Here is a 13,509-nt window from a genome sequence, read left to right on the forward strand (position 1 = left end):
AGGTAAGTGCAAATGAAAACTACAGGGGATACCTTTTTTTTTTTTAATCCATTAGATTGGCAAACATCCCAAGGTTTGATCATAGGCTCAGTGGGTGAGATTCAAGTATTATCAGGCATTTTTATACTTTGCTGTTAGGAATGCAATGTAGTACAAACCTTTGTAGAAGTTGCTTTGGAAATGTCTCTCAGATGTACAAATGCATTCACATTTTAGATTTAGCATTCCCGCTTTCTGAGACATTATTCAACATGTATACGTGTGCACATAAGATATAATAATAACACGTTTTTCCTTCTAGTGTGTTGCTTTTAACCTGTAGCTTGAAAAAACTCTGCTTTCATTGTTTTTTTTTGTTTTCTGTCACTGGCTCAGCCCTGCTTTCAATTGTTTATATGAATTGATGGGTGTTCTGGTCTGGTTATAATCTACTTTAGTTTAAGAGTCACTTTAAATTATATGACATCTGATATAAGTTGTGTTAGGTAGAAAATTCTGTAACTTGGAATACTGTAAGTACTTTGTGGCCACATTTCATTAGTATTAAATATTATCTCTATATATAGTAGGCTATTTAATATTCATATTTTATGATGCAATTAAGAAATAATTTTTTTCTGAAGTTGGTAGATTGTTGATATGCCATGGCCCAGTGTTTCTCAAAGCATTCTGGGGGATCACTGTTTGTCAGAATTAGCTGCAGTGATTGTTGAACATGCAGGGCCTCTGCTCCACTCCACGTTGCTACCAGGACGCTCTGCAGGTGAGAGCTGGGAAGCTGTAGAAGCTGCAGTGCTAACAAATGCTACAGGAATTCTTGTAGTCACCTTCATGAGGTCTTATGTTGAGGAGAGGCAGCCAGTAGTGTCCCTTGTCCTTCCCGTTTTATGGTGTAAGTTTCATTTTAAGGGAGGTATAAATCAAAGCCCACCTGGGCATTCTCTCATGGTTCACTGCTTCTTGTAATCATGGAAGATGTCATTGCGGCAGAGACGAAACAGTGTAGTTTGATTACTATTGATTTTTTTTTAATTATTTTTCTGAAGTGGCTGTTGTAATGTAATAAATTGTGTGCTTAAGGACAACCTTTGGTATTCTATTTGAGTATTGTGTATGATCCTAGTTAAGTTTTTTCTACCAGTATTTTCATATTACAACATATTTACTTTCCATTTCTATTAATATTTTTATATTTAAAGTATGGAGGCCGGGCACAGTGGCTCACGCGTGTAATCCCAGCATTTTGGGATGCTGAGGCGGGTGGATCACAAGGTCAGGAGTTCTAGACCAGCGTGACCAACACGGTGAAATCCCATCTCTACTAAAAATACAAAAATTAGCCGGGCACAGTGGTAGGCACCTGTAATTCCAGCTACTCAGGAGGCTGAGGTAGGGGAATCACTTGAATCCGGGAGGCAGCAGTTGCAGTGAGCTAAGATCGTGCCACTGGACTCTAGCCTGGCTGACAGAGCAAGAATCCGCCTAAAAAAAAAGGGATCAGGGAAGAGGGGATTACAGATAACCCAAAGAAGAAGGAAAAATCTCCACAAGTTCACCTGTCCAGCGGTAACCCCAATTTGGATATTTTCCTTTAACAATTTGGATATTTTCCTTTAAATCCTCTTTTTTATAATGTCTATATGTTGGAGAGAGTATGTGCCTTTACGTATTTTTTAAAGATGAGATTTCTGTGTGTGTCTATATCTCCTGTTCTTCATATTTTCTTGTGTGTTATAAACAGCTGTACATGTCAGTATATATACTTCCGTAACTTTTTTTTAAAGGCTATATAGTGTTCATTGATGTGATTTAACAGCAGTTATCTCCCCGGCTTCATCTTGTTGGAATGTGGGTCCTGTGTGTTGCCTTCAGAGCAAATGGGGCTTGGTTTTGCAGCAAGTAGACCTGTGACCTGTACGAATAGTTGGAAGACTTTCTCTATTACCCAAGTGTATCAGTATACTTTAGTGCCTACTAGAAATTTATGGGTAGAAAAACAATAATATCTTAGAGTATTTTTTCCTAGATTCCCTAAGGTGCTATAGGGTGATTTTTACTCATGTAACATGAACTATCCTTCAACTAAGATAGTTTTTGCAAATGTGGATATATAAGTACTTTATTAAACCTATAGGAAGTATTTATACCACTTATTTCCTCCCTTCAGTGTTAGAACCTCCTAAATGGCATTTGACATTGAACTGCTTTCCACTTTGTCGCATGCTCCTCTCATTGTCCCTACCTGGGTCCTGAACCTTAGGGACTTGGCTGTTATAGCCCCACCATGGCTACGCTGGGCCTTGGTCGTCTCTGAGACTTAGTTTCTTCATCTTACAAGGAGATAATAACAGCCCCTGCCTGCGTAGAATTGCAGAGATCAAATGAAATAATTAACATACTCAAAAGCATGCCGTAAACACATTCTGAGCACATGTACGTTTTAGGAAAAACAAAAGGACCCATGCACATTTCGGAGTGCTTTTGTCTCAGCAGCACTGCCTCTTCTTCCAAAGCTGACGTCTTAGTAGAGGCCCTGCCACGTCCTGAGCACTGTACTCCACGAAGCATTCTATTTCTGACATTCGAAATGCAGTCTGTTCCATCTTCCTTACAATCTGTATGCCAGCACTTGAAATACCGGGTATCTGCAGTGTTGACCAGGTGATTACTTAATTATGGAAATGTTGAGGTGGAGATCTAGATAATTCAGTGAAGGCAGGAAAATTGGTGTCGGAATCTGTCTTTTTATGTGTCAGAAATAGAAATAAGATAGGGTGAGAAGTAATTTGTGGCTAAAACACTATAATAGCTAACACATAGTGCATACTGTGTGCCAAGCACTCCTGTAGGTGCTTGAAATCTTCTATTATTATTATCCCTACTTTATAGACTTGCACCCTTAGGCACAGAGAGGCGGACAGTTGTCCAAGGTTACCCCAGAGGTGGAGATCCAGGCTACCTGACTCCACCATGTGTGCTCTTCCCTAGGGCACAGTTGTGCTGCTAAAAATACTTTTTAAGCAGTTCTTTGATTATTCAGATGATAGTACTGTAGGAAAATTAAGACAAAAATAATGAAAAATTAAAATCTTTATTTTAGTGTTTTGCACATGTATTATTAAAGCCAGTTTACTCCTGGAAGTGTGTAAGAATACAGGGTATTTTTGATCACCTAAATGCTGCATGTTACTAAGAGCTCGACACTGAAGTCAAGAAGAGCAGTTGCAGAGAGTACTTAGCAAAAACGGGAAGTGTGTGGGGTTGAAGGAGCAAAGACAAGTCTTCCTCGGACGGTGGAGTGTAGAATTCATCATTTCTCAGAACACGTCTTTGAACGCATTTTCAATTTGAGGCCAAAGGTCTCAGCCTCCCACTCGGCATACCTCCCTACCTTAGTCAGCTCTTAAATCTTAGGAATATTTCTTTGTTCTTCAAGGAACTTAAATATGTTAACATTCTTACCTGTCCACAGGGAGCCCCCTACAAAGAAGGGAGTTTCTAGTCTCCGTTCTTTCTTGGAATAAATAATAGCCTCATACCTTGTGCAATCGAGGCTGAAAAAGACTGTCTCCTTTTTTCAAATAAGCAAGTCTTAGAAACTACAGTTGTTTACAGGGCTCATGGCTATTCCACAGTAATAATTTTGGTTCTTTTACCAATTATATAATATGTTAAAATATGGCAAGTATCAGGAAAGCAAGGAGTGGCAATGATTAGAAACCAATGGCCAAGTTAGAGAGGAGGGGCAATTGCTCCCCCAAGTTTGTTGTGGCTGTGTAGCAGTCAGTGACGAGAAGCTGTGTGTCAGGCGACAAGCAAAGTTGAGGATTATCAGGCGCCTGTGAGTGCCCAGCTGTGTGCCAGGTCAGGAGGTGCCATCGTGAGCCAGACCAGCTTCCTCTCGGCCCCTGTGGAGCTCGCAGTCTGGTGGGGAGGCAGCAGTCACCATGGTGACAGGTGACACACTAGGATGGGGCTGGTGGTGGTAGGCATTTGCGGGTCCCTTCAGAGAGGTGAGTATGGACTTAGAGGAGGCTCCAGCTTCCTATTCCTGGGCTGTCTATAGCACTAAAAGTTGTCACATGAAAAATAACATTTGGTACTATTGATTTAACTTAATGACTTATGTAATTGTAGTTGACTTAGAAATTATAACATGCTCTTCTACTTCAGCTTGAAACCCCCAACCACCAGTTTATAATCCTTTTTTTTTAACTTTTGTTTATTTTTCCTAAGGAATCTGTACTTTTTCTTCATTTTACAACTTTTTTTGTCCTGTTACCTTATTTTCATTTTTACTTTATATGACCATGAGTTCTAAAATAGTAAAAAAAAAGAATTATTTTTGTTCTTTGTTAGAATTTCTCTGCAAAGAATGTCCAAAAATTCATATTCACATTGATCGTATCGACAAAAAAGATGTCCCAGAAGAACAAGAACATATGAGAAGATGGCTGCATGAACGTTTCGAAATCAAAGATAAGTGAGTAACAACAGTTCCAGCACTTCCGGAACTTCGGTTCAACTAGATTTCAGTATAGTCAACAATTTGAAACCAATGTAAATGGTTATATTGTCTCAAGAATACATTTTATAAATTCAAATCAAATTTTATGCATGTCTGATCGTGTTTTAAACTTTACTTGTACAAATCAGTCTAAAAGAACTTGTTACAGTGGGCCCATCTACTTGCATTGATAGTATTTCTTGGACAATACTACGTGATAACATAGCAAATTAAATTAAAAACAACAACAAACACACAAAAAAACTTTCCAGTGTCAGATGCCCGGACCTACCTGTCAGGTCACATAAAGTGGTGTTACTGTGTGAGGTCTGGCTGTTGGGCCAGTGTGCGCAGAAAAGCAAGGGAGGGGTAGAGGACTATGCGGACGTGCAGGTGGACATGATGCTGTTATATTTGTTGGAAATAGAAGGGGGCAGTTGACAGCGTTATATCCAAAGTGTCTTCTGTGGTTAATTATATTCAGAAATTTTAGCCAATTGTTTTATTCTCTAAATATGTACTTTCTGCTCAAGAAACTATCATTGTTCTTCTTTTCCTTGTTTTACAGTACAGTGTTTTTAATTAACCCTCCTGGGTTAACTTTACCAGGTGAAAATGATTAAAAGTGTAATAGGTTAACAATGAAACTTTAAGCTTCTATTTTTCATTGACTCTTAACTGTACATGATGTAATGTATTCAGCGAGCCATTCAGGACCACTTTGGCCCATGGAAGAAATTTAAAAGTAAGATCTACATGTATTGACATGAAAATATGTTCTCAGAAAAAAGACTAATGTATTTAATGTCCTACTTATTTTATAAGTATTTAGAATACCTCTGGACATTTTAAAACAATGATTATTGCTAGGGTGTGTGATTTATAAAGCAATAGAAGCGCTTTCCCTTTCTGTTTGTGTTTTAGATTATTATATCGGGTATGTTCTGCTATCATAACTTTACAAATCTTATGTAATATGGGAAAATGAGTTAACTATGCTGTTTTCCTTCTTTTACCTGCCTTTCTAATTCTGTGGGAATAAAGGCGTTTTTGAGACAGCCCAGGTGCAGTGAGCAGTCCATATCCATGGATTCCACATTCATGGATTCCACCAAGCACAGACCAAAAATACTCAGAAAAAAAGGGGGCTGGCTGTGGTGGCTCATGCATGTAATCCCAGCACTTTGGGAGGCTAAGGCAGGCAAATTGCTTGAGCCCAGAAGTTCAAGACAGCCTGGGCAACATGGCAAAACCCTGTCTCTACAGAAAATACAAAAATTAGCCAGGCGTGCACCTGTAGTCCCAGCTACTCAGGAGGCCGAGGTGCGAGGATCACCTGAGCCTGGAAGGTTGAGACTGCAGTGAGCTATCATTGTGCCAACTCCAGCCTGGTAACAGAGTGCCTTTTTTCAAAAAAAAAAAAAAAAAAGGATTTGGGAGGATATGCATATGTTATATTCAAATACATGCCATTTTATTCATATATCAGGGACTTGAGCATCCTTTGATCTTGGTCTCTGCCGGGTATCCTGGGACCAGCCCCCTGTCGATACAGAGGGACCGCTGTCTAAGAACCGCTGGTCCTATCTTTGACTTCTGGCGGAATAGGAGCTCCATGTAAAAAGGAGGAGAAGCTGCAGCGGGTTATTAGCCATTTGTGAGTCAGGTCACTGTAAAACTTTATCAAAAGTTTAAAAGACAAAAAGCATCCTCATAAAATGCCTTAAAACCACCTGTTGAAATATTACATATACAATTCATGTATACTAATCATAGAGCATATTAAAGATATTTTAGAAGACTAGAAACTTCTATTAAACCAAGTTTCTGGATGTTTCCGTATTCATCCTTATTTTCCAGGGACCTGCATAACTTTTCCAGCGTGTAATAGCTACCTGATTGATATTTTTTGAATTGAAATACTGAAGTGACTAAAATCTAAACTTTTTCCATTCTGGCCATAGGATGCTTATAGAATTTTATGAGTCACCAGATCCAGAAAGAAGAAAAAGATTTCCTGGGAAAAGTGTTAATTCCAAATTAAGTATCAAGAAGACTTTACCATCAATGTTGATCTTAAGTGGTTTGACTGCAGGCATGCTTATGACCGATGCTGGAAGGAAGCTGTATGTGAACACCTGGATATATGGAACCCTACTTGGCTGCCTGTGGGTTACTATTAAAGCATAGACAAGTAGCTGTCTCCAGACAGTGGGATGTGCTACATTGTCTATTTTTGGCGGCTGCACATGACATCAAATTGTTTCCTGAATTTATTAAGGAGTGTAAATAAAGCCTTGTTGATTGAAGATTGGATAATAGAATTTGTGACGAAAGCTGATATGCAATGGTCTTGGGCAAACATACCTGGTTGTACAACTTTAGCATCGGGGCTGCTGGAAGGGTAAAAGCTAAATGGAGTTTCTCCTGCTCTGTCCATTTCCTATGAACTAATGACAACTTGAGAAGGCTGGGAGGATTGTGTATTTTGCAAGTCAGATGGCTGCATTTTTGAGCATTAATTTGCAGCGTATTTCACTTTTTCTGTTATTTTCAATTTATTACAACTTGACAGCTCCAAGCTCTTATTACTAAAGTATTTAGTATCTTGCAGCTAGTTAATATTTCATCTTTTGCTTATTTCTACAAGTCAGTGAAATAAATTGTATTTAGGAAGTGTCAGGATGTTCAAAGGAAAGGGTAAAAAGTGTTCATGGGGAAAAAGCTCTGTTTAGCACATGATTTTATTGTATTGCGTTATTAGCTGATTTTACTCATTTTATATTTGCAAAATAAATTTCTAATATTTATTGAAATTGCTTAATTTGCACACCCTGTACACACAGAAAATGGTATAAAATATGAGAACGAAGTTTAAAATTGTGACTCTGATTCATTATAGCAGAACTTTAAATTTCCCAGCTTTTTGAAGATTTAAGCTACACTATTAGTACTTCCCTTTGTCTGTGCCATAAGTGCTTGAAAACGTTAAGGTTTTCTGTTTTGTTTTGTTTTTTTAATATCAAAAGAGTCGGTGTGAACCTTGGTTGGACCCCAAGTTCACAAGATTTTTAAGGTGATGAGAGCCTGCAGACATTCTGCCTAGATTTACTAGCGTGTGCCTTTTGCCTGCTTCTCTTTGATTTCACAGAATATTCATTCAGAAGTCGCGTTTCTGTAGTGTGGTGGATTCCCACTGGGCTCTGGTCCTTCCCTTGGATCCCGTCAGTGGTGCTGCTCAGCGGCTTGCACGCAGACTTGCTAGGAAGAAATGCAGAGCCAGCCTGTGCTGCCCACTTTCAGAGTTGAACTCTTTAAGCCCTTGTGAGTGGGCTTCACCAGCTACTGCAGAGGCATTTTGCATTTGTCTGTGTCAAGAAGTTCACCTTCTCAAGCCAGTGAAATACAGACTTAATTTGTCATGACTGAACGAATTTGTTTATTTCCCATTAGGTTTAGTGGAGCTACACATTAATATGTATCGCCTTAGAGCAAGAGCTGTGTTCCAGGAACCAGATCACGATTTTTAGCCATGGAACAATATATCCCATGGGAGAAGACCTTTCAGTGTGAACTGTTCTATTTTTGTGTTATAATTTAAACTTCGATTTCCTCATAGTCCTTTAAGTTGACATTTCTGCTTACTGCTACTGGATTTTTGCTGCAGAAATATATCAGTGGCCCACATTAAACATACCAGTTGGATCATGATAAGCAAAATGAAAGAAATAATGATTAAGGGAAAATTAAGTGACTGTGTTACACTGCTTCTCCCATGCCAGAGAATAAACTCTTTCAAGCATCATCTTTGAAGAGTCGTGTGGTGTGAATTGGTTTGTGTACATTAGAATGTATGCACACATCCATGGACACTCAGGATATAGTTGGCCTAATAATCGGGGCATGGGTAAAACTTATGAAAATTTCCTCATGCTGAATTGTAATTTTCTCTTACCTGTAAAGTAAAATTTAGATCAATTCCATGTCTTTGTTAAGTACAGGGATTTAATATATTTTGAATATAATGGGTATGTTCTAAATTTGAACTTTGAGAGGCAATACTGTTGGAATTATGTGGATTCTAACTCATTTTAACAAGGTAGCCTGACCTGCATAAGATCACTTGAATGTTAGGTTTCATAGAACTATACTAATCTTCTCACAAAAGGTCTATAAAATACAGTCGTTGAAAAAAATTTTGTATCAAAATGTTTGGAAAATTAGAAGCTTCTCCTTAACCTGTATTGATACTGACTTGAATTATTTTCTAAAATTAAGAGCCGTATACCTACCTGTAAGTCTTTTCACATATCATTTAAACTTTTGTTTGTATTATTACTGATTTACAGCTTAGTTATTAATTTTTCTTTATAAGAATGCCGTCGATGTGCATGCTTTTATGTTTTTCAGAAAAGGGTGTGTTTGGATGAAAGTAAAAAAAAAAATAAAATCTTTCACTGTCTCTAATGGCTGTGCTGTTTAACATTTTTTGACCCTAAAATTCACCAACAGTCTCCCAGTACATAAAATAGGCTTAATGACTGGCCCTGCATTCTTCACAATATTTTTCCCTAAGCTTTGAGCAAAGTTTTAAAAAAATACACTAAAATAATCAAAACTGTTAAGCAGTATATTAGTTTGGTTATATAAATTCATCTGCAATTTATAAGATGCATGGCCGATGTTAATTTGCTTGGCAATTCTGTAATCATTAAGTGATCTCAGTGAAACATGTCAAATGCCTTAAATTAACTAAGTTGGTGAATAAAAGTGCCGATCTGGCTAACTCTTACACCATACATACTGATAGTTTTTCATATGTTTCATTTCCATGTGATTTTTAAAATTTAGAGTGGCAACAATTTTGCTTAATATGGGTTACATAAGCTTTATTTTTTCCTTTGTTCATAATTATATTCTTTGAATAGGTCTGTGTCAATCAAGTGATCTAACTAGACTGATCATAGATAGAAGGAAATAAGGCCAAGTTCAAGACCAGCCTGGGCAACATATCGAGAACCTGTCTACAAAAAAATTAAAAAAAATTAGCCAGGCATGGTGGCGTACACTGAGTAGTTTGTCCCAGCTACTCGGGAGGGTGAGGTGGGAGGATCGCTTCAGCCCAGGAGGTTGAGATTGCAGTGAGCCATGGACATACCACTGCACTACAGCCTAGGTAACAGCACGAGACCCCAACTCTTAGAAAATGAAAAGGAAATATAGAAATATAAAATTTGCTTATTATAGACACACAGTAACTCCCAGATATGTACCACAAAAAATGTGAAAAGAGAGAGAAATGTCTACCAAAGCAGTATTTTGTGTGTATAATTGCAAGCGCATAGTAAAATAATTTTAACCTTAATTTGTTTTTAGTAGTGTTTAGATTGAAGATTGAGTGAAATATTTTCTTGGCAGATATTCCGTATCTGGTGGAAAGCTACAATGCAATGTCGTTGTAGTTTTGCATGGCTTGCTTTATAAACAAGATTTTTTCTCCCTCCTTTTGGGCCAGTTTTCATTACGAGTAACTCACACTTTTTGATTAAAGAACTTGAAATTACGTTATCACTTAGTATAATTGACATTATATAGAGACTATGTAACATGCAATCATTAGAATCAAAATTAGTACTTTGGTCAAAATATTTACAACATTCACATACTTGTCAAATATTCATGTAATTAACTGAATTTAAAACCTTCAACTATTATGAAGTGCTCGTCTGTACAATCGCTAATTTACTCAGTTTAGAGTAGCTACAACTCTTCGATACTATCATCAATATTTGACATCTTTTCCAATTTGTGTATGAAAAGTAAATCTATTCCTGTAGCAACTGGGGAGTCATATATGAGGTCAAAGACATATACCTTGTTATTATAATATGTATACTATAATAATAGCTGGTTATCCTGAGCAGGGGAAAAGGTTATTTTTAGGAAAACCACTTCAAATAGAAAGCTGAAGTACTTCTAATATACTGAGGGAAGTATAATATGTGGAACAAACTCTCAACAAAATGTTTATTGATGTTGATGAAACAGATCAGTTTTTCCATCCGGATTATTATTGGTTCATGATTTTATATGTGAATATGTAAGATATGTTCTGCAATTTTATAAATGTTCATGTCTTTTTTTAAAAAAGGTGCTATTGAAATTCTGTGTCTCCAGCAGGCAAGAATACTTGACTAACTCTTTTTGTCTCTTTATGGTATTTTCAGAATAAAGTCTGACTTGTGTTTTTGAGATTATTGGTGCCTCATTAATTCAGCAATAAAGGAAAATATGCATCTCAAAAATTGGTGATAAAAAGTTATTTCTTGTATATGTGATAAAGTTTACATGTTGTGTATATATGTTGTATTGCCAAATACGGCTATTAAATACTACGTCATATTTTAAAGGTTCAGTTTGTAGTGATAGTAAACAAGCAGTGCACTAAGCCTCTTGCGGGCATCATCTCATCTCACTGTCATCACAAACCCCATGCCACAGCGTAGCTTGACCACTAAAAGTAATGCATCTGCAAGCATACTGCCAGGTTTTGGATAGTTTGTACCAACAGTTACCTTATCAAGGTAAATCCCAGACTCTAAAAGAGTTGGTGCTGTGTCACTACATGCATAACTTTAAATAAATTTCCTGCCGGGCGCGGTGGCTCACGCCTGTAATCCCAGCAGTTTGGGAGGCCGAGGCAAGTGGATCACTTGAGGTCAGGAGTTTGAGACCAGCCTGGCCAACGTGGTGAAACCCTGTCTCTACTAAAAATACAAAAATTAGCCAGGCGTGTGGTGGCAGGCACCTGTAATCCCAGCTACTTGGGAGGATGAGGCAGGAGAATCATTTGAATCCTGCAGGCGGAGGTTGCAGTGAGCCAAGATGGCGTCATTGCACTCCAGCCTGGGCGACAAGAGCGAGACTCCGTATTAAAAAAAAAAAAAAAAAAAAAATTCCTCTCCTGTTTGAGCTTTCCCTTACCTGTAAAGAGGGGAGAATATGTATTTACTTCAAAGAGTTCAGGGAAATGACTCTCACTAGTTTGAGATTCTAGGTATAAAAATACATTCTTATATAATTTTAACACCAATGTGAGAGATTATTATTCTTGCTAAACCAATTCAGTTTTATTTGCTGTCTAAAATGTGTGAATAAGTAATTGTCCATTATTTTCTGAAGTGTTTTGGAACTCAACACATGATTGTGAGGAGGATTTGTTGCTAAACATCTTTCTGGTTATTCAAGCTCGTGTATACTGTGCTCTGTTGAGACATGCAGAGTTACTTTCTGTCTGGGTCACAGGTCAGTTCTTGATAGTTTTCGGACAATTAACCAGTTTTCATTTGCCCATGACCACCTTTATTCTTTTTCCTCAACTGCACCCATCTTTTATAAGGTCTTTCAGTTTATTGCAGAGAAGATGGTGGAGAAAAGCCGGAATTCCCACCCACCGCTGCCATCCCCATGTTTTATCATTGGCTAGAGTGGAAAATAGCAGTAACTACTGTGAGAGATCATTTGTTTATATAATGGAAACAAAGATGAGGAAAGAACCTGGCTTAGATCAGAGAACTGATGTATTTAGATTCTTTTTTTTTTTTTTTTTTAAGACGGAGTGTTGCTCTGTTGCCCAGACTGGAGTACAGTGGCTCAATCTCGGCTCACTGCAACCTCCATTTCCCTGGTTCAAGCAATTATCCTGCCTCAGCCTCCCAAGTATTTGGGATTACAGGCGTGTTCCACCACACCTGGCTAATTTTTTGTATTTTTAGTAGAGACGGGGTTTCGCCATGTTGGCCAGGCTGGTCTCGAAATCCTGACCTCAGATGATCCACCCGCCTTGGCCTCCCAAAGTGCTGGGATTACAGGCGCGAGCCACCGCGCCTGGCCCAATGTATTTGGATTCTTAAAGAACACTTTCAAATTAAATATCAGTTGAAGAGAACTAGAACTAAAGAATTTCTGTGTCAAACTGTTTAGCAAATGTAAGTAGAAGCTGGGAGATGTGTCCTGGAATGAATGAATACATCAGTAAAATACCATACGTATGTTATGATGTTATTGTTTCCTTGCCTTGGTTGATTTGGTTTTACTGTGAAATAATTTTCAATATAGAATTGTGATCGTTGGAATTTGGTCATCTAGTAGAAAATGAGAAAGAAGTTAATAGCTATCTTCCTTAAAGATTTCTGAGGTTGGGATTAAGGTAGTGTTCCCAAGGTGTTCTAAAACGGCAGCGAGAGCTGTGCACTCACTTCACAAATTTGAATTCCTGCTCTGTGTTAGGCGCTGTGCTAGGGGCTTAGCTTAGCACAGTTATTTCCAGAGGTTCCTGTGTATGGTGTGAAGAAAGCTTCACAAAGACTGTAGTGAAGCCAAAGATATAGTAGGGAATGAAAGCAAGGCATCACCACTTCCTGTGAGGACACGTTACTGCACAGGCACCCGAGCTGTGTCATCTCTACCATGTGCCTTGTTCAGGTTTTGGCAGAGCCCCTAAGCATATGCCCAGGAAGGGATCTATGTGGAAGTTGGCTCTTTCTGATGCATTCGGTGTTAGCTGGTTCTCGATGGTCGGTGATTCTTAGCTGAATCCAGAAGGGTGAAAACAGTTGCTGCTCCGGTGTAGTTGAGCTGGAGCATGGCGGCACATCAGGGCCACGTCACTGATGACACCATCAGTAACACACTGTGTTTCTCTTAAAACAGGGGCTTTCTGTTGTCCAGATGATCAAAACACAAGGTTCTTCATAACTCATTCTGTGTATCAGTGTTTCTTGTTTGGGAAGGAGATTGGGGAGGAGTGGCTGGGAGTAGATGGAGAGCCGGGCTTACGGGCATGGATTCTAGAGCCAGGACACTTCGGTTTGAGTCCCTGCCCTGCCCTGCCACTGGTCAGCAAGGGACTGTGGTCAGTTTTTTATTTTTTATTTTTATTTTTTCAGACAGAGTTTCGATCTGTTGCCCTTGCTGGAGTGCAGTGGCGTGATCTCGACTCA

General features: G+C 38.5%; 1 protein-coding gene across 4 annotated transcripts in view, besides 3 other annotated features; it reads left to right on the forward strand.

The window, feature by feature from the left end:
* Positions 1-10,812, forward strand: part of AGPAT5 (1-acylglycerol-3-phosphate O-acyltransferase 5) — a 52,862-nt gene extending 42,050 nt beyond the window's left edge. For 3 of the 4 annotated variants that reach the window (XM_047421939.1, NM_018361.5, XM_047421938.1), the window contains 2 exons: positions 4,360-4,483; positions 6,472-10,812. In XM_047421939.1, the coding sequence (XP_047277895.1) occupies positions 4,360-4,483; positions 6,472-6,697 (350 nt within the window). In that variant the 3' untranslated portion in view covers positions 6,698-10,812. Of the gene's footprint in view, positions 1-4,359; positions 4,484-6,471 lie in introns of those variants that run through there. The other variant, XM_047421940.1, reaches the window with a different exon arrangement.
* Positions 3,413-3,914: an enhancer, noted in NCBI's record as "H3K4me1 hESC enhancer chr8:6611625-6612126 (GRCh37/hg19 assembly coordinates)". NCBI's record gives its function as "activates a minimal SCP1, AML or CMV promoter by ChIP-STARR-seq in primed H9 embryonic stem cells {active_cell/tissue: H9 hESC(primed)}" and the evidence as "EXISTENCE:reporter gene assay evidence [ECO:0000049][PMID:30033119]".
* Positions 3,915-4,414: an enhancer, noted in NCBI's record as "H3K4me1 hESC enhancer chr8:6612127-6612626 (GRCh37/hg19 assembly coordinates)". NCBI's record gives its function as "activates a minimal SCP1, AML or CMV promoter by ChIP-STARR-seq in primed H9 embryonic stem cells {active_cell/tissue: H9 hESC(primed)}" and the evidence as "EXISTENCE:reporter gene assay evidence [ECO:0000049][PMID:30033119]".
* Positions 13,203-13,252: an enhancer, noted in NCBI's record as "active region_26958". NCBI's record gives its function as "activates an Ori minimal core promoter by ATAC-STARR-seq in GM12878 lymphoblastoid cells {active_cell/tissue: GM12878}" and the evidence as "EXISTENCE:reporter gene assay evidence [ECO:0000049][PMID:35858748]".

Source organism: Homo sapiens, chromosome 8, assembly GCF_000001405.40.
Source record: "Homo sapiens chromosome 8, GRCh38.p14 Primary Assembly".
In the NCBI taxonomy this organism is placed as follows: domain Eukaryota; kingdom Metazoa; phylum Chordata; class Mammalia; order Primates; family Hominidae; genus Homo; species Homo sapiens.